Source organism: Homo sapiens, chromosome 9 (assembly GCF_000001405.40).
Source record: "Homo sapiens chromosome 9, GRCh38.p14 Primary Assembly".
NCBI classification, from domain to species: Eukaryota; Metazoa; Chordata; class Mammalia; order Primates; family Hominidae; genus Homo; species Homo sapiens.
The window spans coordinates 120,837,399-120,859,874 of record NC_000009.12 but is presented as its reverse complement, the minus strand read 5'-3'; the positions used below and the strand labels follow the sequence as shown (position 1 = coordinate 120,859,874).

Genomic DNA, 22,476 nt, shown 5'->3' with positions numbered 1-22,476 from the left:
CCGTGGTTCCATCCCTTTGGAATGCTTCACCTGCTGCAGAAGCTTGTACACACCTCTCACTGGACGATTCCAGTTCTGGGGTTGTTGGACCAGAGTTTCTTTCACTTTTGGCCTCCACGTGCCATGAGCTTGGGTGTCTCTCTGCCTCTTGGACTACAGAGTTCCCTGACCTTGATTCTTGGCTGTCTGAATATGGTGCCTGTCTTCCGGGGTCTCTAAGGGAAAGAGCCGTTTATTTAGAAGCCTGACAGAAGATGGCATCCTGCAGGGTGGAAGATTTAGGAGTGGGGACAGAAATCCCTGGGGGCCTATCTCCAGTACAACTGGTCTGGCAACAGCTGGTCCTCAGCAGTACGGGGAGTGGTCGAGCACAGGGCTTTCCTCTGCACTCAAGCTGCACTGTATTTTAAGATACTTGAGGCCCTTGCAAAAGTAGAATTAAAAGTATAATGCCTGGCCAGGCACGGTGGCTCATGCCTGTCATCCTAGCACTTTGGGAGGCCAAGGTGGGCAGATTACCTGAGGTCAGTAGTTCAAGAGCAGCCTGGCCAACATGGTGAAACCCCGCCTCTACTAAAAATACAAAAAAAATTAGCTGGGTGACAGAGTAGGACTCCATCTCAAAAAAAAAAAAAAAAAAAAAGGACAATGGTATAATGCCTGTAGAGGTCTGTCTTGGAGTCTGTGTCTCTTGACATCTGTCTAGGTGTCCTCTGCTGTTGCCTGTTTTTTCTTTCTTCCTGTTTGTTGGTTGGTTTGAGACAGTCTCACTCTGTTGCCCAAATTAGAGTGCAGTGGCATGATCTCAGCTCACTGCAACCTCCGCCTGCCAGGCTCAAGTGATTCTCATGCCTCAGCCTCCGGAGTAGCTGGGACTACAGGCGTGCACCACCATGCCTGGCCTATTTCTTCCTGTTTCTTTGGTTTCACCAGCACTTCAGGTCTTGGTTTCTGTCTCTAAGCATCTGAATCTGTGCCTTGTCCTGTGTGTCTGTGTGTCCATTTCTCTAACACCCGTGTGTGTGTGTGTGTGTGTGTGTGTGTGTGTGTGTGTGTGTGTGTGATGTCTGTCAGTCTCTCCATCCAGGCTCTAGGGTACAGGGTCCTTCAGTCCCTAACCCCCAGCCCTATGTGACCTATCTTGTTCCACCAGTCTGGTGAGAGGCAAGGTGGGATAAGCAGGGCCTCTGCACTGCATGGCCTCAGGAGGCTCAGAGAATGGTGCTCTTGTGCTTTTGCAGTGCCGGGATCCTAGCTCTAAGAGCATATGCTTTGGAGTTGGACGTTCTTACGTTTGAATCCTGGCTCTGCCACTCCCTACCTGGTTTTCTCCTCTGGACCCTCAGTTTCCCTCCTCGCAGGGCTCTTGTGAGGATCTGGTGAGATAATCTATGCCCAAGGCATAGATTATCTCAGGGACTACATAACAGGCACCTTTGAGAGAGCATGGGAGAAGATGGATAAGAGAATGCTGTTCAGCGCTTTTCTCTTCCACTTTCCTGGTACTGAGGGGAGGACTCAGGGAGAGGAATTTACTGTGATTGTTCTACCTCATTCTCATCATCTTCCTCTCCCACTTCTGATACAGATGGACAGTGGGCAGCCGAAAGAGGAAGCTGGCAGCCAAGGCATACATGCCCCTGCGGGCAAAGCGGTGGGCAGCTGAGCTGGATGGACGCTGCCCCTCGGACAGCAGTGCAGAGGGGGCTTCAGTCCCCGAGCGGCCAGACGAAGGCATTGACAGCCACACATTTGAGAGCATCAGTGAAGATGACTCATCCCTGTCCCACCTCAAGTCATCTATCACCAACTACTTTGGTGCAGCTGGGCGGTTGGCCTGTGGGGAGAAGTACCAGGTGTTGGCTCGGAGGGTCACACCTGAGGGCAAGGTTCAGTACCTGGTGGAGTGGGAAGGGACCACCCCTTACTGACTAGCCCCCGGGGGTGCCAGGGGTCCTGAAAACCAAAGGAGGAGCAGCAGAAGCCATAGGCTCCCCAGCTTTCTCCAGGCTGGGGTGGGAGAAGGAAGCAGGACAGAGCTGCAAGTGCCTGGCAGAATGCCCTGCCTGCCTGCCTGCCAGGCCAAGGCCTGCGTCTCTCTGCTGTACCAGCTCTGTTCCAGGGCCTCCTCAGGCTCGTTACCCCTGTGCCTGTGTCTCTACACACTCCACACCCCCTCAAACTCTGTTTATCTGTTCTCTGACCTTGTGTCCCCTGCGCTGGGACCCTTCCTCCTGAGGCCCAGGTCTTTGTCCCCAGTTGTGTGCCTTGACCTCTCTCGCCCCTTTCTGGGTGTGTTCGCACATCCTGTGTGTGCACAGCTGTCCCTCCACTGGATCCCCTTCACACGTGACCCGTGGGGCAGCCAGTCCTCCCAGGGACTACATAACAGGCACCTTTGAGAGAGCATGGGAGAAGGTGGATAAGAGGATGCTGCTCAGTGCTTTTCTCTTCCACTTTCCTGCCACTCCCCACTACCCTCGGAGAGAGGTGGTGGGATGGGAGAGAGCCCCTGTGAAAGCCTGTGAGGATCTGAAGAGTAAAGGGCTGGGTCTGCCTCAGAAGGCACCAGCACCAGGGCCCAGGTATTAAGGCTGAGAGTGAAGGCTGCCAATGTCAGCTTTGGAGGTCCCAGAAGTCTTCTGTTCTCTGGCCTCACCCCCTCAGTCGCCATAGAGCTGGGCCTGGCCTTGCTGGAATGGAGGCATCCTTCCAAACCTGGGGGACGGGGGTGGGGGGTGGTAGTGGTGGGAGGGAAACCATGTCTTGCTAAACCTGTTTCTGGTGCCTCCCATCCCCAGACCCACCAGACACCACACAGCAGACAATACACACCCACTCGCACAAGCTTCCATCCACATGTGTTGTACTTTCAGCTCTAGGCATGCAGACAACCCCACACGGCCACACCACCACATGCCCAAGTGTACACACACAGAGCCACACCGTCCCTCTGGGCCTGCTGGCTCCTCCCTTGGCTTTCCCTTGGCCCACTTCCAGGGCCCAGGTGCTGCAACTAAATGTGAAAGCTCAGTGGCCGCTCCTTCTTTCAGCCCATCAACCAGCATTGGTCCCATAGGGAAGCACAGGGGACTCACCCTCTTTCATATCCCTTGCCCTGCCCTGAAATGGACAATCACTTTTTGGGATAGGTTGAAATTTTTAAAGAGCCTGCATCATTTGGTTCCCTCAAAGGGAAGCCCTTGCCAGTGGGGGTTTGAAAGAGAATTTTTGGAACCAACATTCAAATTCTGCCTCATCTGGAGGGAAACCAAAATTGGGAGGGGGAAGAGGACCCCTGATGTTTTGCTGCTTCCAGAGATATTAGAAACTGACTCACTTGATTGGAAAATGGACAAAAGTGCCTTGACGTGGAGGGTGGGCACCAGATGGGGACCAGCCTTGCCAACTGCTGCTGTGGCCTCCAGCTTGGCTGGTTTTGCAGGCCGCCAGCAGGAAGGCGAAGGTGGTAGTACAGCAAGAGGCACTGGCGGGGCAGCAGGCCTGCAGGAGCTGTTTTTCCATTGCTAGGCCTGACCCCTCTCTACCTGTGAGCGTTCAGGGGGTCCCTGAGATAGTTTAGATGCCCCCCCATCTTAGACCTCAGCTCCCACAGTGCCTTTTAAGGGGGACCTCACCTCCTGTGCACAGCCCACCCACTTTCCTCTGCTTCCCTGGCACAGCCCAGGCATAGACGAGCTGGCGTTGGACCCAGTTCTTCCCCCTTTTCAGCCCCACAGCTGCTGCCACAGGGGCCAACTAGGGCCAGGTGGAAGGGGAGCTGAGAAGCCAACCCCTAGCCCAGGGGTGCTGTGGGAACTGGGATCCAATTTGTAGCTTCCTGCCTGGCTTCAGAGAGCCCAGCAACCTTCTAGGCCTGCTTTCCAGACTTCTGAGATAGCCTGGGATGAGCAATCCTGTTATAGTACATCTGGACCTTCCCTACCTGGGCTCTGGGGAGGCTGTGGGCCTGGAGAGGGAAAAGGAGGGAGGGGGTGTCTGCACCACCTGGGAAGATAGCACAAGGCCTAATGAGGTCACCCTGACTCCCCACCCCAGCATTTCATTCATACCAGATAATAGCTGCATTACTGCCAACTGACCTTATAACCCTCTGCACCTTCAAAAAGATTCATGGTTTTTAATTGCTGCTTTTAATAACATTTGTTAAAGTTATAATTAATGTGTCTGATTTATGATTTAAAACCTCCCTTTGAACAATCACTTGTCTTCCCTATAGTGAATTAGCTGCTGGGTGGCAGAAGGAATTGGCTCTGGCTTTTGCACTTGGTTTACTGGAGGCTGAGGAGGAATGGCAGGACCCTGTCCTCTGGCCACCTTGCCACTCCTACCACTGCCAGCAACATTCTCACCCTTACTGCCAGAGAGAATATGGAATCTTTTGTGAGTACCCGACCTTTGGGGGCAAAAAACATTAGTTGAGTGCCACTGAGAGGTAAAAGATGGAAAATGAACTTAGAAATTGACACTATTATAATACTTAGATCCGGGCATCGTAAAACTTTATCAGTACATCATCACACAATTCTAGAAATATGAAATGAGTTCTAGACCTGACTCTGCTAGTTCTAACCTGTGCCACTTTAGTCAGATTCCTTTCCTTCAGTTTTATCACCCTTCAAATGGCAGTGATAATCCCAGCACATCTGCTCCCCATGTGTTGGGAGAGACTTTGCTGTGTGTGACTGATTATTACTTCAAAATAAACCTCTAAATTTAGGGCAGTTTGGAGAGGAAAAAAACAGGAGATGTAAAGGGGTAGGAAAAAGGTCATCTATAGAGAGGTAAAGGCCATGGATTCCACTGAATTCTACAGTTTGAGGGGTAAAGTGTAACCTGTAATCCCGAATGAAGGACTCAGTGGTGTTAATATCTGCCCTTAAACGTCTTCATTCACTATGGCTCCCACTTCTTTCTACCACTCCATCAGCTTCAACCTTTTATCTGTCCTCAGAATAAAACCACAATGGGACTTGGGGGTGGTGGTGGTTATTCTCTGGGCTATAATTAATGGAATGGAATGAAAAGTGGCACCAGGTGTCAAAAGACCTGGGTTCTAGTGCAAGGTCTGCAATAAGCAGCTATATGGACCCTCCTAAGATCAGTGGGCCTCCCAGGCTAGAGAGTGCCTGCTTTTCTGTAGTCTAGTGTTTCCAAATTCACAACAAACATTTACCTTCGGAAATTAGGGACAAAGAAGTAGAATTCTCAGAAATCCCCCAAATTATAAGTTATTCTTCAAATACTTCATTCTTTATACTGTTTTCCTCATTATTATAGGTATCTGGAAAAACTTTGTTTGCTAAGTAGACATATTAAGCTTATTTTTACTTACAAAGAACTGTAGCGTACAGAGAATATTTAAAAGACAGGAAGATGCCAGGGAACATATATTGGATAGTGTTCAAATAAATATAACATTTGAATAGCCTAGAGCAAGGTAAACAGAATATAGAATCAATCGTGTCCAGACTGTTAACTTATTTTGCTTCCAAAGTTTATTTCTCGGAACACCATAAGATTTGTATAAAGTATGGTAGGTTGTTTATCAAATCATTTTGTTTGCAAGAACTCACCATTAGCAGCTGATATGGCCAGATATACAGATGTAATGGCATCACAACAACCAAAAATAGGGCTAATGAGATGGTGACCGTTTCTCTCTGCTATGCTCCTGTCTCAGTTCTTGTAGCCTTCAACTCGGTACGTTAATATTTGATGAAGTTGGATTCTTTCAAACTAGTGATGTCTCCATAATGGTAAGTGTTACTATTCACAGAATAATTACAATACTTCTCATTTCCTCAACTGATTTTTCTAGGGATTATGGATTCAAAAAACATACATTTCCTAAGAAATACTGGGAGGGAATTCCCACATGGAAACACTGGTCTGTGTCCTAGCCCTAGCCTCTGCAGCATCATTCTGGGATGACAGTTTGTAATAGTGACCAAAACATGTAAGTTGGAGTTAAGGCAGATCCTAGAGATCAGTGAACTCCTGCAGATCTGTGGTGAGTAGTAAACAATATATATATATATATATATTTTAGACAGAGTCTCGCTTTGTTGCCAGGCTGTAGTGCAGTAGCATGATCTTGGCTCACTGCAACCTCTGCCTCCTGGGTTCAAGCAATTCTCCTGCCTCAGCCTCCCAGGTAGCTGGGACTAGAGGCATGCGCCACCACACCCAGCTAATTTTTGTACTTTTAGTAGAGACGGGGTTTCACCATGTTGGTCAGGATGGTCTCAATCTTTTGACCTAATGATCCGCCTGCCTCGGCCTCCCAAAATGCTGGGATTACAGGTGTGAACCACCGTGCCTGGGAAACAATACATTTTTAAGTGCCAGACCAACTTACCACATAGATGTTTTAAAAACTAACAACTTCATTGTTGGCTACGGCAGCTTCTCTGGATCTACAGCCTACAAAGAACTGACTGAACCTCTGAATGAAAGAGTGAGAGCATTAGGTTTAGAATCAGAGTTGGGTTCACATCCTAACTCTGCAATGTACTTTATGTGTTACATGTTCTTTGGTCTCAGGTTTCATCTGTAAAATGAGGATAACATTGCATTATAAGGATTAAATAATGTTAAGAACCTAGGACAATGCGTGGCAGAAACGGCCCTCTCCCCTCCCATTTCCTATAACAGTCAACCTTGACACCAGGGAAGAGGAAGGCCACCAAGAGCTTTCTGGTAACAGAAAACCACTCAATGAAGGCCACACACAGAACACTCTCCTTTGGAATTCATCTCACTTTAAGAATATTCAAGGAAAAAAGTTGAATTTTGCCAATTCATAAATCAAAAGTGAGTATGTACTGTAGAGAGAGCTTTAGTTATTTAAATACTTAAAACATCAATTTGCCAAACAGGTGCAAGAGATTAAATAGATTCAGACATGCCCCTATCCTCAAGTAGCTTACAAGCTAGGAATACAAAGCTGACTGTGATGCACAAAGATGACAGGAATACCACGAAAGAAGAGATTCCTGCCAACCACGGAAGCCAGGCCATACAAAGGAGCAACAACATTTCACAGGCATTCATGCAGAAGGGCATTCCAGGCAGAGGGGATGGCATGAACATAGCAATAACATCACACAGTATAGTGCAGCCATCCATTTCCCAGCGTGGGAGAGGAGATGGAGGGGATGATGACGGAAAAGGTGAGCTGAAGCAAGGTTATAAAAACCAGAGCTAGAAATTGGACTTTATCCTGGAAGCAATACAGGCAGTCCATCTTGGGTCCCCAGTACATTTTAGGTAGGGTTTACTTTACACAGATTTGCATATATATCAGAACATGATCTGTTGTAAAAAGCAGGGACATCACCATTATCATTCTCTTTGTTCTTCTGAGTCAGTCCCTCAAAATCTCCATTGGAATCCTCTGGAATTTTCCGAAGGCCCCAGCCTAAAGTCCCTACAAGATCTTTGCAAAGGACTCTCAGAGATCCTCTTCCATTTGGTATTTGGGAGCACAAAGATCCAAGTAGTACAGTAGTTATCAGCACTACAGCCTGCACTACCCACTTTCTGGATCTCTGTGCAGTTCAGTTCCCTGAATAATCTATAAAATGAAAACAGGCTCAGAGGAGTGGTTTACAAACCTTTAACAAAGAAAGCTTTTTAAAAATCCCCATGCAGGCAGTCTCCAAGGCACCTATTGTCAACCCCTGGGGCTCTGTGAAGCAAACCTGAAAGACACGGGTCTGTCCGATTCCCGGGGCTGTTTCTGTGCTCAAGTGAAAAGATTAGTTGGGTGGGCTCAGAATCTACATCTTCATGGACAAAGCACCAGAATGATCTGATGTCTGTCATTCAGGCTAGGGAAGAGCCAAGACTTACTCCCAACCCATGAGGCTGTGCCAAAGTCCTAATATTCCCTGAGTCATACACAGGCTCATGGAGCCCATTCCTAGTCCCACCTCCTCAGAATTCAGGACCAACAAAATCCTCTTTAGCAAGGAGAAATAATCCTGCTGATCCACGAAATGCCACAATTAGCAATTTATCCTTTTGCTAAAGCACTTGCGAGTCCCCATAGGAGGAGGCATTCATCCCACACTCTTCCAGGTAAACAAGGTCATGAGGGCCACTCCTCCCCATGAGAAGCAGCAGAGCAATTACATCCTAGGCACCTGAGGCAGGCCTACTGACTCAAGAAGATGGCAAGTCTCATCTTCACTGCTTCTTCCCCTCAGTCTGTACATATAACCATCCTCATGCCCTTGTGCCTGCTTAGCCCCCTTAACCATGAAGCACTCAGAGACAAGTTACACTGTGTTCTTGCTTGGCCTGACTGGCCCAGCCTTTTCTTCCAGCTTTAGGAGCCTCAGACCTTCAGCCTCTACAGGCCATTTAGCTCCTCTGTGCTGACAGGAACATGAAATCCAGAGATGCTGGGAGGTAGAAGGCAGCCTCCTCTTCCCCAGAGTGCAGCTGATGGAGGCTGGAGGCAGCCGCTGGAGGTAGCCAGCAGCATGCACAAAAAGCTTTCCCCACTCAGTCCTCTTCCATGCCTTCCTGAAGCCACTTTAAATACTGCACATCTCCTTAATCCACAGGGAGACTGAAGATCTCTGGGATTTCAAAAGGATGTACAGCCTTTGGAGAGAAAGCAAAGCCCTATAAGTGACTATGATTAGAATCAACTCGTGATAAAACCCAACTGGCCAGCCTCAAGGGAGGCCCTCTGCAACCTGCCGCACCCCACCTGTCCAGGCCCACGGCCTGTCACTCCCTAGCCTATGTTTCCCATCTGTCAATAAGTGGCCAGTTAGGCCAGATAGCTTTAGAGTCTCACAGACATGGGTTCAAATTCTAACTTTGCCCCTACTAGCTGTCTGACTATGGACAAGTCACTTAGTTTTCTTTAAATGCTCCTATTTTTAAAAAAAAAAAAAAGGCCCTACATGACTGGACTGCTGAGGATTAATTAACACAAGGTATACAAAGCACTTACCCAGTATACCAGCTGGCACTGTATGCATTCATTACATGTGAGCTACTCTTTTTATTATTATCCTATACACATCACTTCCCAAAACAATCCCCCCTCCCCCAGTATCTCTGTATTCTTTTGCCCACCTAGATTCCACCTGCTCCTGCTGATCAATCAAAAGCCTATTCTTGCTTAAAAAAAAAAAAACTTCTCTGTCCCTCAAGGTCCAATTCAACCACTGACCTTTCCCAAGGGATCTTCCCTGACAAACAAGGTCTACAGGAATCTATCTTCCTCTCCTGTGTCTTTCGCCTGGCCCTTGTCACACAGTGCAAGTTCTCTTCACTTTCTAGACTGAAGGAACATGAGGACTTGGGCCTCAGTGTCCCATCTGTCAAATGAGGATTATAATCCTCTGCCTCCTTTCTGCTGAATGAGGTGTTTTAAAGTTCCCGTAACATGCTTAATAAATCACAGCATATGTATACATTCACATGTTGCTTCAAATGTATGCTTAAATATTCTGTACGTTGGGTGCCTGAGGATAATGAATTTTGTTAACTTATGTGTTTTTATAAGCAGACATACAGAATTCAAAGACATTTTTAACACATTAGGAATAAGAGCTGAGACTGATAAAGCATTTCATGTACAGGTTTCACATATTAATTTCCATATGCATAACAACCCATTAGTATAATCCCAATTTTACAGAAGGGGCAACTGAGGCACATAAAATATTCATATTTTCCAAGCACTATGGAACAGTGGCAGGTGGGGAGCCAGGTTTCAAGGTAGGAGGTCCAACTCTCTTAACCCTGAAGCTGTCCCTCACCAGTTAAATTTTAATTTCTCCACAGTACTGGCTCTACCAATGGTTCCTTACTCTCTCACCTCTGCTGAGGTGGTATCATGAGGGCCTCCTCTAGAGCTAGTTTGAGACCCAGGGGAACGGTGTATTCACAGAATCTTAGTTCCCTAAGGAGTAAAGAAAAGGTTTCATCATCCATATAGGTGGTTTGCATCTCTGGCCCTACGTTAGAGTCAACCTCAGAAGGTTCAGGTGACCACGTTAGAGTCATCTAAAAAGAAAGGTGCTTTTTAGTACCACTATACTTGATCCCCGCCCTGGCCAAATTAAGTCGAAATCTGTGAGGTGGGGCCTAAATTGGTAGTTTGAAAAATGTTTCCAAGTGATGCTAATACATAGCAGCCAGCGGTGAGAAACACTGGTTTAGACCAGTGCTTCTCAAGATTTAATGTGCACAGAAATCCCCTGGGGGTCTTGTTAAACTATAATTTGATTCGGTAGGTCTGGGGTGAGCAGGAGATTCTACAGTTCTTGAAAGCTCCCAGGTGATGCCAATTCCAAAAATTCCACTTCTGAATGATAAAGGTTTATACTAGAGGTTCTCAAAGTGAAGGTCCACTGACCCATGGGGATCTCCAGGACTCTAGGGGGTCCATGGGGTCAAAACTACTTTCATAACAATATTATTTTATTATTTATCCTTTTACTATGTTGACATTTGCACTAATGGTTAAAAAAAAAAAAAAGAAAAGAAAAGAAAAAACAAACAACAGGCTGGGTGTGGTGGCTCATGCCTATATCCCAGCACTGTAGGAGGGCGAGGCAGGTGGATCACTTGAGTCCAGGAGTTGAAGACCAGCCTGGCCAACATAGCAAAACTCTGTCTCTACCAAAAAATAAAGACAAAAAAAATAATAAGCCGGGCATGGTGGCGGGCACCTGTAATCCCAACTACTTGGGAGGCTGAAACAGGAGAATCGCTTTAACCCGGGACACAGAGGCTGTAGTGAGCTGAGATCATGCCGCTGCATTCCAGCCTGGACAACAGAGTGAGACTCCGTCTCAAAAAAAAAAGAAAAAAAAAAAGACTCCCTACACTCACATCCTCACTAACAGGATGTTAGTGGCTTCTATTTTTCCCTCCCAAAAGTACCTGGAGAAGGGAACAAAACCAAATTATGATGCTCCTAAGAGGAGCTCAGTGAAGTGTCAAACCTGGCCCACCTAAGTGACCTACTGAGGAGAAAACTTTAAAATCTTTCCAAGCCTATATAAACAAGTCTAGAGTTGACCAAGGCCTCACATGTCATCTGGTCCAACGATTCCAATGCATGCATCTGGCATTTGCCTGAACATTCCTGGAGGTGGGAGGTTCATCATCTCTTGATGAAGTCCATCTAACTTAAAGGTTTTCACAAGATGCTTTTTCTTATAGTGTGCCAACATCTGCCACCTAGCTTTTTCCCCAACTGGCCTCATCAAGAACCACCCCAGGACAGCCCTGCAGAAACTCCTATGTCTTCTCTGCTTGAGCTCTTCCAGTGCTCATCCTACACACTAGTGCTATTTTGATCACTGACTTTCCAAGGAGAGTGCCCATAAATGAATAACTAAAAACACGGAAGACTGCAGGGAAGAAGTAAGCCTTATAGTTATGGAAACTTTTAGATGCTGAAAACAAAGTCAGAAATGATGATCAGAAGACAGTATAAGAACACCATCAGGGGAAAGGAAAGACATTTACCCTGAGAAGATCAACAAGGGCAAATCTAAGATGACCAAGGCCACTGGCCCTTCCTGTGTCACAGGACTGTGGCAAAATAATACATCACGAGAAAGGATGGGCATATAAAGGAAATAGTAGGATGAAATTCTATTCAATTTCCCAACACTGGTTCCCAGACTGGCTAAATGTGACTTATCTATACAAGTCTTTAAAAATTCAGAGACCTGGGCCCCATCCTCAGGGCGACTAATTGAATAGATTGAGGCTGGAGTTCAGGGATAGACCGCATGGCCAAATTTGGGAACTATGACTACAGATGGTGTGAGCCACTGAGGAAATAACATCACTGGGGAGAAAAAGGTAGCTTTCATTATATAGCTTATATGACCTTGAGAATGTATATTATGTCTCTCTCTTTTGAGGGTGTAAGGGAGAGAGGGAAGGAAATGAGAAACATGATCATCAGGGAAAGGAAGACGTACGACAAATCCTGCACAGCTAGTGCCAGGATGCTAAAGTATTGTGATGAGGGAAATGGTGCAGACCAGGCTTCTAAAGTGAAGTTGTTAATGAAATGAAAGGTAGACAATACGCAGAAGCAGCCTGTCATATATGCTAAACTGTCTGTTTTCTGGAGAATCCAAAAGCATTGGAAACTGTTTTCTCTGATATCCCTAGTTGGTTTACTCAAGGATAAAATGCCCAGACTTCCTTCCTAACAGCAGGCTAATTGATTTAACCAAAGAATGTGCAAACAAGATATACTGTTCCTAAATTATGCAGTTTTTCCTTCCTTCTCTATACAGTCTATTTTTGCTTTTGTTGGACAACATCCCACTGATCGATCGATCTCTGAATAAAAACACTGAAATGGACTGTTGATTATCTAAATGCCTTTGAGTTATTCTGACAATTCCTTTAATTCAGTGTTCTTTACACCAGCCAGGACCTGACCCTAGCACTCCCCACACTCCCCCCACTCCCCCTCCAATGGCAACAGCAAAACTCACAGTGAAGATGCCTTGAGTAGGATGTTCACAGAGGCAGCCAGCTCCTTATCCAGCATGGCCCTGAAGCAAAGGCACAGGGTGGCAGTTACTGGAGCAAGTCCTGGGGTCTCAAGAAAGGGGAAGGGGATGGGGTTCCAGGGACTTACCCAGGAAACCTGACTCTAAGTAGACAGGCTTTTAGCATTCCCTCCCCTTACATCCTCCCTGCTCAAACCAGCACATTCCATAACTATCAGGCACAAAACCTCTGAAGATAAGCTGTTTGTAAGTCCTTCTCTGGGTGAGGAGAGAAGCAGGGAAGCACCTATGGGAAGGCAGTTTGAATAACAGGCCCAGTCTGCTTAGAGAATGGGAGTTAACACTGAACCAAAAATAAGAAGACCTAGGTTCCATTCCCCGTCCTGCAGTAACATGGCTGTGTGATCTTAAGTTCCTTCTTTCATTCTAGTAAGAAGTATTCAAGCACCTACTCTGAGATAGGCCCTTTCCCACCTCTCAACTTGAATCTCCTATTGGTACAAGAGGATTGGTTTAGCTGGTGGTTTCCAACCTTTTTCACTACCGAGAACTTCTTTTATTATGCCACCTTCTGCTGTTAACTCTCAGAGATGCATCTGGTTGATGGGTGCTTTGATTTGTAGATACCCATGTGACCGCACAGAGCTGATACAACTCCAAAGCAAAAGCAAAAAAAGAATCATATCCTGTGTTCATTTTGGCAAATACAAGCTCTTTTCACTTGTTATTAAAGGTTTCTACCACAGCCCTAACAGCATAGTCATCTCCTTTACAGACCTCTAAGATTTTTTGACTGACTCCAGGCTGAAATGCCTTGTCAGATGTTGTTTGTGTGTGTGTTTTAGAGACAGAGTCTTGCTCTGTCACCCAGGCTGGAGTGCAGAGGCACAATCTTAGCTCACTACAGCCTCGAACTCCTGGGCTCATGCAATCCTCCCACTTTAGTGTCCCAAGTAGCTAGGACTACAAGCATGCACCACCATGCCTGGCTAACCTAAAAAAAATTTTTTTTTACAGATGGGGTCTCATTTTCTGGCCCAGGCTGGTCCCAAACTCCTGGCCTCAAGTGATCCCCCTAACTCAGCGTCCCAAAGTGCTGGGATTACAAGTATGAGCCACTGCGCCTGGCCCAGATCACCTTTAATATTATACTGGATTTCAATCTCAGTCTGATTGCTGTGCATAGAATTGGTGAACACAATAAATTGTGTCTGAACTAGTACACGTGTCATAGAAATAGGAGCACCATCAGTGCAAGGAAGAAGTGTTCCCAACCATCCAAACTGCAAGCCCTCAGAGTGTAGCAGGCCCTGACAAATCTTCCTCAGATCTCTGACAGCCAAAGGTCTCCATTCCATGAAGTGCTTGGACCCTGCCAAACAAACCTTATCTGAGCCCTGCTCCCTGCTCTCTCCTTCCCTCAGCTGCTGCCAAGAGAATTGACCTACTCTGTCTTCCCTCAGGTTGAACACTGCTGAATTTAAGGGCTCCATACTAATGTGACATTACCGCCACCATCATCGTTCCTTTGGAAAGTTCCAAGAGGTAAATAAGTTCCTGACTGTGAAGAGTGACACATGGCATGAATCTGCTTTTGCAATTGCTGCCAGTCTTACTCAGTCACCCACTGAGAAATTATATTTTAGTGGTTCTGGAGGTGGCATGCAAACACAGGCAGAGTTACACCTCTAGAAAAAAGAATCCCATTGTCTCACAGGCCTTTCCCAGTCTCTTTGAGAGTGTAGACTCCTTGGGGACTGATCACAGCAACCTGAAAGATTACAGAACTGTTGAGCATTTGGTTATTCAAAAAGCCCATAGGGCTATAGAGTTGACTGAATGTAATTTTAAATCACACACACACACACACAAAACCAGCAGTGAGTCATCCATGGGGTGCCCAGGTTCTAGGAAAGCAGAAGACAGATGTGTAGAGCTACTAGGATCTCTAAAAACTGCAGCCATCACAGAATACTGGCTCACAAACCAGATGCATAGATCAGCTCTCACAGCATTTTTTTTAAATTCTTGATTTTGTTAACAAAATTTCCTTTTTTTTTTTAGTCAGAAAAAAAAAATTTCTTTTTTTGTCTCTCTGTCAACCAGGCTCCCCTCAGACTCAGATTCTGTATCCATCACCTTCACCTAAATGACATCCTCTTCTTCATGTCTTCCTTCTCTTTCTTCAAGTCCTTTGCTTTATTTTGAAGGTTCTTTTGCATCTCTTCATAGGTATAAGCAATTTATTGAAACCTTTTTTAAAAGTCAGGCTTCAATCCAGGAAAGGATCCATATGAATTGTAGCATCAGACAGCATTCAATTTCCTCTGCAAAGACTTCTTCCTATGGAAATAGACTCTCAGTGATGACCAAAGACAGAAACTTGAGTAGCTCATTAATTTCACTTTCCCTAATATCAATAAATCTTAAACCCACCTGTTTTGCAGACACTAAGATTTTTTTTAACTTCTTCATTAGCTCTAGGGAAATATGCATCATTCACACATCCTCCCACAGTTTCCAGCAAGCTTAAGAGTGGCTGATTTTATATCACCCATCACCTCTTTTATCACTACCAAAGCATCGGCAATATTGTACTGTTGCCATGCTTCTTTCAGAGTAAGGTGAGGGTTTTTTCAATACAGTCAGCAAAGTGGTCAAACATATGCTTGATTATGTTCAAATGCTTCAGTTATACCCTGACCCAAGGGCTGAAGAAAGCTAGGGCCTTCCTGAGGGAGAAACACAGTATCAACATTAGAATGAACAAAGAATAATGAATCTGGGTGATTGGGACCTCTGTCCACAGTTAGCAACATTCTGATTTCCAGATTTTTTTTGTTAAATGACTTCGGATTTGATGGATAAAAAAATTGTAAAACTAATCCAAAAAGTGGCAGTGGTGATTCTGGGTGTGATTACAAGAAAACAGGAAGGCGTTTATCTCTAAAAGACAAGTGGGGTGTTAGAGTCTTTGTAAAGCAGCAGTGGTTTTATCATTTTGTCACCTGAGGCACTGCCACAAAAAAATGAGGGAAATCCTGTCCTTAGCTTCCTCTAAGCTTTCCAGATTTTTGTCTTTTGCCCCAAAAGTAGGAAGGCATGCACTGCAAAAGATGGGTCATCTCCTTGGCGTTGAAGACCTGTTGAGGCACAAAGCCTCTCTCCAGTTGCTTGGAATACTCGATACCCACTCAGGATTTAAGGGTCCTTCCTCCCCATCAACTTCGTATGTTGCAAAACAGCAGCGATTTTTAAAGTTCTCAAACCATCCCTTGCTCGCATGATACTTATTTGGGTTGTCCTCCCCAGATGTTTCCCATTGGTTCCCTGTAGATGTATTTGGCCTGGTTGCAGAGGGCCTTCCGGGTCAGATGCCGCCCTCTGTCATCTGGCCTTCCACCTAAAAGGTTAACTGGGTCTCCACCTTCACGATGTTTACATTACAGGGGAATACACAGCAGCTTAGAGCAGATGGGCGACCAACTCTCCACGCTGGTCTTTCTTGGTTTCCTGAGGGTAGTGGAGGACAAGAGGGGAAAGCAGGGTCTTGCTCTGTCGCCCAGGCTGGAGTGCAGTGGCACAATCACCGCTCACTGAAGCCTCGACCTCCTAGACTTAGGGGACCCTCCCGCTTCAGCCTCCCGAGTAGCTGGGACTACAGGTGCGTGCCACCACACCGCACTAATTTTTTTCCTTTTTTTTTTTTTTTCTTTTTGGTAGAGACGGGTTTCTCACTATGTTGCCCAGGCTGGTCTCGAACTCCCGGGCTCAAGCGATCCTCCCGCCGCGGCCTCCCAAAGCGCTGGGATTACAGGTACGGCCACTGCGACCAGCTGCTTCTCCTTGGTGGACTGATCAACACCAACAAGGCGGCGCACGTCCCTATTACTCACGCCTTCGTCAGGCTCCTGGAGAATATTCATCCAGTCTTCCAGAGGCATGACGCTCCGCCTCCTCTTGACAGGTGGCTGGCCCAGGATCAAGATTCCCCTCCAGGCCACCGCTCCACCTGGGGAGGCCTCAGCCGCGGCCGTAGCCGCGGTGGCCTCCATAACGGCTGCAGTCGTCCCCGCCTAGAGCCTGGTTTTGGAGCCTCGAGGACGCCGACGAGGCTGTTTAACTTCCCGTGAGTCCCCACCCTCGCCGCTCCGCTGGCCGGGAATTTGGCAAGGCTTTGCCCTACGCGGTAAACACGTAAGCCTACTGGCCTCCGCATTTCCCTGAGCAGCGACCTAGATGACGCCAGACTGAGGGAGCCGCAACCACTGGCTACAGTTGACACGGCCCTAACGGAGGCTTCTCGCGAGGCTTGGCAGCCCCATAGCCATCTCAGGGACAAGGAGGCTGTGATCAGATCTCGCGAGGTTCAGGAAAGCGCCCCGGGAACTGGGCCGCTGGGCCAGCCCCTGCGTCGGGGGGCAAGATGGCAGCCCAGGCTTTGGCGCTGCTGAGAGAGGTAGCGAGGCTGGAAGCGCCGCTGGAGGAGCTACGCGCGCTTCACTCCGTGCTGCAGGCAGTGCCGCTCAACGAGCTTCGCCAGCAAGCGGCGGAGCTGCGCCTCGGCCCGCTCTTCTCCCTGCTTAACGAGAACCATAGGTGAGAGGACCCCGGGGGCTTGAGCCGAGGAGAGGGGCACCCCTAAATATGGACATGAGAGTGGTTGAGGGCAAGAACAGCGCTTTTCCCAGTCACAGGGGAGGTGGAAAGTAGCCGAAATTTGCAGAGAAGGAAGGATCCTGGGTTCAGAGGCAGGAGATGGGGTTCAGGTTCAGCCTCTGAGAGTGCCCCAGGGTGTTTTCTCCCGTCGCCTGGCCTCGCTGCCTCTGAGCAGTGAGGCACTGCCTTCTTCATCAAATAGAAATTAAAGGAGGAAAGCAAAGCTGTCCACTTACAAGGAGCATTCCACATCTCTTTGTACAGGTTCTTGATTTGTTTCCCCTTCTAAAAGGATCCTATCCTGGCAATGTGGCAAGAACCATCAGCATTTTAAATTCACATGCTTTTTCATCCAGTCATTCTTGTTAAAAAAATTTAATGCAAGTATACGCGCACAAAATGTGCAGTTACTTTGTTCTTTCGAACCCGAGGCTGGAATCGCCCCAAAAGCAGCGGCAAGAGAGTTCCCACGAGGGAGTGCTTCAAACCTTCCCGAGATGTGGCTGGTTGGGATGACAGAAAAAGAAGCACTGAATGCCAAGGCGATCAGTCCAAAAGCGTTTAGGGGGAAACCTGCAGAGGGCTGCAGAAATTGTCAAGACGGACACCGGGAGAAAGGTGTTCCTGGGTATGTCCGCAGTGAGGGGGTCAGGGTATGGAGTTCAGATGAGAGTTTAAAGGAATTTGGCTCAGGGTTGAGGCCAGTTTCTTCCAGTGTTTTGGGCAACAACCTAGGTACCTTTATCAGGCCTGTGAATGTTCAAGGCCCCTGGTTTATGGTCAAGCCTGCTAGGGAAACCTGCCGCTGGCTAGGTCAGAGAGCAATCAAGGCACTCTGATTTTCCATCAGGACAGAGAAAGAAAGGGGGCGACTGGAGGACCCTACAACATTATATGCAAGAATATAACATATCGTGTGTGGCACCAGAACACTAGAAACAATCTAAATATCCGTTAACAGAGGATTCCAAATTATGCGCTATTACTCTGTAACACTGTGCAGTTATTTAAGTTATTGAGGTAGATGTATATATATGTATGTGGACATGGAAAGATCTCTGTGTTTTGTTTTGTTTTGTTTTGTTTGTTTGTTTGTTTTCAGACGAGTCTCGCTCTGTCTCCCAGGTTGGAGTGCAGTGGCGCGATCTCGGCTCACTGCAACCTCCGCCTCCCTGATTCACGCCATTCTCCTGCCTCAGCCTGCCGAGTACCTGGGACTACAGGCGCCCGCCACCACGCCCGGCTAATTTTTTGTATTTTTAGTAGAGACGGGGTTTCACCATGTTAGCCAGGATGGTCTCGATCTACGGACCTCGTGATCCGCCCGCCTCGGCCTCCCAAAGTGCTGGGATTACAGGCGTGAGCCACTGCGCCCGGCCAATCTCTGTGTTGTTGAATGAAAAAGAAAATCGCAGGGTATATCAATCTATAATTTTAACCTGTAATTTTTAAAAAGGATTACAATCTTCCCAACCCCCACAGGCATGTAAAACTTGTATAACATTGCAAATATCTGCAAAGGTACACCAGAAACTATTAATAGGGAAGTGGGTCTGAAAATAGTAGGACAACTTTTATTTTTGATTTTTTACACATCCGTAGTGTTTGATTAAAAACACTTTGTAGGCCCGGTGCAGTGGCTCACGCCTGTATTCCCAACACTTTGGGAGGCTGAGGCGGGCAGATCACCAGGTCAAGAGATCGAGACCATCCTGGCCAACATGGTGAAACTCCGTCTCTACTAAAAATACAAAAGTTAGGCCAGGCACGGTGGCTCACGCCTGTAATCCCAGCACTTTGGGAGGCCGAGGCGGGTGGATCACAAGGTCAAGAGTTCGAGACCAACCCGGCCAACATAGTGAAACCCTGTCTCTACTAAAAATACAAAAATTAGCCGGGCATGGTGGCACGTGCCTGTAGTCCCAGCTACTCTGGAGGCTGAGGCAGGAGAATCTCTTGAACCTGGGAGGCAGAGGTTGCGGTGAGACGAGATCGCTCCACTGCACTTCAGCCTGGGCAACAGAGTGAGATTCCGTCTCAAAAAAAAAAAAAAAAAAGCAAAAATTAGCTGGGCTTGGTAGCGCACACCTGTAGTCCCAGCTAGTTGGGAGGCTGAGGCAGGACAATCACTTGAACCTGAGAGGTGGAGGTTGCAGTGAGCCAAGATTGCACCACTGCACTCCAGCCTGGCAACACAGTGAGACTCCATCTCAAGATAATAATAATAATATAATAATAATAATAAAAACACTTTGTAGACCGGGAGCAGTGGCTCACACGTGTAATCCTAACACTTTGGGAGGCTGAGGCGGGTGGATCGCTTGAGCTTTGGAGTTTGAGACCAGCCTGAGCAACATGGTGAAACCCTGTCTCTACAAAACAAAACAAAAAATTAACTGGGCGTGCGTGCCTATAGTCCCAGCTACTTAGAGGGCTGAGGGGGAGGATCCCTTGAGCCCAGGAGGCAGAGGTTGCAGTGAGCCAAGATTGCACCACTGCACTCCAGCCTGGGTGACAGAGTGAGGCCCTTTTTTTTTTTTTTTTTTTTTTGAGACGGGTTCTCGTTCTGTTGCCCAGGCTGGAGTGCAGTGGCAGGATGTAAGCTCACTGTAACCTCGCCTCCCAGGTTGAAGCAATTCTCCTGCCTCAGCCTCCTGAGTAGCTGGGACTATAGGCACGTGCCACCACCACAACGCCCAGCTAATTTTTTGTGTTTTTAATAGAGATGCAGTTTCACCATGTTGGCCAGGCTGGTGTCGAACTCCTGACCTCAAGTGATCTGCCTTGCCTGCCTCGGCCTCCCAAAGTGCTGGGATTACAGGCATGAGCCACTGCGCCCAGCCAAGACTCTGTCTAAAAAAAAAAAAAAAAAAAAAAAGATTAAAAAAACATTTTATAATTCTTACCTGGATTCTGGGGAAAAAAAGGAAAAAAAAACCACTTTGTATTTGATAATTTGATCATTTAAAAGAGTTTTGAAATGTTTGTGATCAAAGACTTTCAAGTGACCTTACTACTTGAAAAGATTATGAACCACTGAATCAACAGTGGATGATTTCAGAGCGCTTTCTTGGCTCTGACCTTCTAAGATTCCTTCCTTTTCTGTAAGTGTTCTCCATTCATGATGTCTATCAGTTAACATTATTTGGGTCTGCCTATGAAATGTCTCTTATTTGTCTCCTCTTTAATTCAAGCCCTCATTTTTTCCCTATTGCTAGGTCTGTAGTGTTAGTCTGACTTCTCCTTACCTCTGAAATTCCTTTTCTAGCAAATTCCTTTTCTAGCAAATTCCTTCCCACCTTGTAACCCCAGTGAGCATACATCTCGAGTCAGCTGGTGCTAATCTTTTCCGTGGTTTCCCATTGCCTGTAGTGAGTTTTTAGAATGCCATTTGGGCCCTTTACAGTATATTTCCATCCTACTTTTCCAACCTCACTTTTTTCCTCCACTCCACTTCTTTTCATCTGCTCCAGCTACCATGTGGCACCCTTATTTTTCCTTAAGCCTGACTTGCACTTTCCTAACTTTACTCATACCAGCCTTTCTAACTGAAATACTTTGCTGTCTGTCCATATTCTGTCCATCCTTTTAGGCCCACTAAAGAGCCATCTCCTCCAAAATATTTTTCTCAATTATTCCAGTTGCAAATGACTGCTCCTTAGATCTGCTAAAGGACATTATTGTTATTTCTGTTAATGATAATTGACACTATTACCTATGTTATAGTTCTCTGTGTGTCTATTTCCAGTTTGTAAATTCTTTGAAGGCAGTGACCGCATTTTGTTCATGTCTGCATCCCTCTTAGGGCCCAGCACATAATGCAGTATACGCCCAATTAAATTTGAGACTCACAGAGTTTAGAGTGGCCACCTTGTCCAACCTCTCCTATTAGAGATGAAGAGACTTCCAGAGGTCATACCGCAAGTTGACAGCAGAGATGCAGTAGGAACTGAAGTGAGGCAGAATTTGAGGATTCAGGTCCATGGGGAAGATAGTTTGCTGAATGAAGGAGCAGTGCTTTAGGGAACAATTTTAATGGAATTTAAAGACAGAATAATTCAGAACTGGATACATAGTAGATACCAACTGCACCTTGTGGGAATAATTCTCTGGATAGTATCTGGCAGTCTTCAGATACTTTGCTGTTATCCTGGCTAAACCACATAAGTTGTTGTGTGTTGGTTCACAATCTGATCTTGCAGATGTAAGTTAGAATCTTGACAGTTTTTTTTGAGAGAGTTTAAGTCCTAAGATTACTGCTTTAGAACATGAAAATCAAACAAGACTAATTTTAAGCATTAACTCTTTGGCTCGTTGGCAAAGAAGGGTCACATAGGATCTGAAATTTGTGCACTGTGCAGTTTAACGTACCACTACTTTTTTTTAAACAGCTTTCAAAGGTATAATTTATATACAATGAACTGCACTTAATAAAACGTACAAGTTGGCAAGTTTTGACATATGTATATACCCATGAAACCATCGCCACAATTAAGATAGTGAATGTATCTTTCACTCCCAGAGGCTCCCTCATACCCCTTGCTAATCTCTCCCTGTTTCAACCAGTCAACCACTGATCTGCTTTCTCTCACTGTAGATGAACTTGCCCTTTATTTTGGCCAGACATGGGGGGAAGGGATCATACAAATGGAGTCATACATTATGTATTCTTTTGTTTGGTTTCCTTCACATAGCATAGTTATTTTGAGATTTATCTATGTGGCATGAATAAATAGTTCATTCCTTTTTATTGTTGAGTGTAAGTCCATTGTATGAATGTACTACAGTTTTTTATCCATTCCCCTGTTGGTGAACATTTGAGATTTGAATTGTTTTCTGTTTGGAGATATTACAAATGACAGTGCCGTGAGCATTCATGTACAAGTCTTTACATAAAAATATTCTTTCTTTTCTCTTTGAGTAAATAGCTAGGAATGAAATGGCTAGATGGTATGGTAGGTGTATATTTAACTTTTTAAGCAACTGGCAAACTGTTTTCCAAAGTGGTTATAGTATTTTACATTTCTACCAGCAGTGTATGAGAGTAGATCATAGACCTAAATATAAAACCTAAAACTACAAAACTTCTAGAAGAAAACAGGAAAAAAAAATGTATGACTTTGAGTTAAACAGACTTCTTTAATATGACACCAAAAGCATGATCTATACAAGAATAAATTGAGCTGGGTGTGGTGGCTCATGCCTGTGGTCCCAGCTATTCAGGAGGCTGAGGTGGAGGCTACAGTGACCTGTGATTGCTCCACTACACCAGCCTGGG

General features: G+C 46.2%; 2 protein-coding genes and 1 pseudogene across 15 annotated transcripts in view, besides 9 other annotated features; 2 read left to right on the top strand and 1 right to left on the bottom strand.

Annotated features, from left to right (window-relative positions):
* PHF19 (PHD finger protein 19) overlaps positions 1-4,224 on the top strand; it is a 48,478-nt gene extending 44,254 nt beyond the window's left edge. For all 9 annotated transcript variants that reach the window (NR_104601.1, XM_017014612.3, NM_001286840.1 and 6 more), the window contains one exon: positions 1,589-4,224. Coding sequence is in view for 8 of the 9 variants with exons in the window: in XM_017014612.3 (XP_016870101.1) it covers positions 1,589-1,931 (343 nt within the window). In the remaining variant the exon portion in view is untranslated. The remainder of the gene's footprint in view (positions 1-1,588) is intronic.
* Positions 3,139-3,638: an enhancer, noted in NCBI's record as "H3K4me1 hESC enhancer chr9:123618515-123619014 (GRCh37/hg19 assembly coordinates)". NCBI's record gives its function as "activates a minimal SCP1, AML or CMV promoter by ChIP-STARR-seq in primed H9 embryonic stem cells {active_cell/tissue: H9 hESC(primed)}" and the evidence as "EXISTENCE:reporter gene assay evidence [ECO:0000049][PMID:30033119]".
* Positions 3,639-4,140: an enhancer, noted in NCBI's record as "H3K4me1 hESC enhancer chr9:123618013-123618514 (GRCh37/hg19 assembly coordinates)". NCBI's record gives its function as "activates a minimal SCP1, AML or CMV promoter by ChIP-STARR-seq in primed H9 embryonic stem cells {active_cell/tissue: H9 hESC(primed)}" and the evidence as "EXISTENCE:reporter gene assay evidence [ECO:0000049][PMID:30033119]".
* CUTALP (cutA divalent cation tolerance like, pseudogene) lies at positions 5,502-16,800 on the bottom strand (annotated as a pseudogene). 4 transcript variants are annotated; one of them, NR_152406.1, is made up of 4 exons: positions 14,976-16,800; positions 14,679-14,882; positions 12,522-12,581; positions 5,502-8,637 (listed from the first exon to the last, which is right to left on the bottom strand). The product of NR_152406.1 is annotated as a cutA divalent cation tolerance like, pseudogene, transcript variant 3 (transcript). The 4 variants fall into 4 exon arrangements; NR_024408.2 differs by having other exon boundaries at positions 16,436-16,800; NR_152405.1 differs by lacking the exon at positions 14,679-14,882 and having other exon boundaries at positions 16,436-16,800.
* Positions 16,382-16,731: an enhancer, noted in NCBI's record as "active region_28897". NCBI's record gives its function as "activates an Ori minimal core promoter by ATAC-STARR-seq in GM12878 lymphoblastoid cells {active_cell/tissue: GM12878}" and the evidence as "EXISTENCE:reporter gene assay evidence [ECO:0000049][PMID:35858748]".
* Positions 16,690-16,984: an enhancer, noted in NCBI's record as "tiled region #13781; HepG2 Activating DNase unmatched - State 1:Tss, and K562 Activating DNase unmatched - State 1:Tss". NCBI's record gives its function as "activates a minimal TATA promoter and a strong SV40 promoter by Sharpr-MPRA in HepG2 and K562 cells {active_cell/tissue: HepG2 | K562}" and the evidence as "EXISTENCE:reporter gene assay evidence [ECO:0000049][PMID:27701403]".
* Positions 16,690-17,332: a biological region, named in NCBI's record as "Sharpr-MPRA regulatory regions 2033 and 13781".
* Positions 16,750-17,044: an enhancer, noted in NCBI's record as "tiled region #2033; HepG2 Activating DNase matched - State 1:Tss, and K562 Activating DNase unmatched - State 1:Tss". NCBI's record gives its function as "activates a minimal TATA promoter and a strong SV40 promoter by Sharpr-MPRA in HepG2 and K562 cells {active_cell/tissue: HepG2 | K562}" and the evidence as "EXISTENCE:reporter gene assay evidence [ECO:0000049][PMID:27701403]".
* Positions 16,803-17,332: an enhancer, noted in NCBI's record as "H3K27ac-H3K4me1 hESC enhancer chr9:123604821-123605350 (GRCh37/hg19 assembly coordinates)". NCBI's record gives its function as "activates a minimal SCP1, AML or CMV promoter by ChIP-STARR-seq in primed H9 embryonic stem cells {active_cell/tissue: H9 hESC(primed)}" and the evidence as "EXISTENCE:reporter gene assay evidence [ECO:0000049][PMID:30033119]".
* Positions 16,932-17,231: an enhancer, noted in NCBI's record as "active region_28896". NCBI's record gives its function as "activates an Ori minimal core promoter by ATAC-STARR-seq in GM12878 lymphoblastoid cells {active_cell/tissue: GM12878}" and the evidence as "EXISTENCE:reporter gene assay evidence [ECO:0000049][PMID:35858748]".
* Positions 16,953-22,476, top strand: part of PSMD5 (proteasome 26S subunit, non-ATPase 5) — a 26,870-nt gene continuing 21,346 nt past the window's right edge. For both annotated transcript variants that reach the window (NM_001270427.2, NM_005047.4), the window contains exon 1: positions 16,953-17,138. In NM_001270427.2, coding sequence (NP_001257356.1) covers positions 16,966-17,138 — 173 coding nt within the window. In that variant the 5' untranslated portion in view covers positions 16,953-16,965. The remainder of the gene's footprint in view (positions 17,139-22,476) is intronic.
* Positions 18,441-18,942: an enhancer, noted in NCBI's record as "H3K4me1 hESC enhancer chr9:123603211-123603712 (GRCh37/hg19 assembly coordinates)". NCBI's record gives its function as "activates a minimal SCP1, AML or CMV promoter by ChIP-STARR-seq in naive H9 embryonic stem cells {active_cell/tissue: H9 hESC(naive)}" and the evidence as "EXISTENCE:reporter gene assay evidence [ECO:0000049][PMID:30033119]".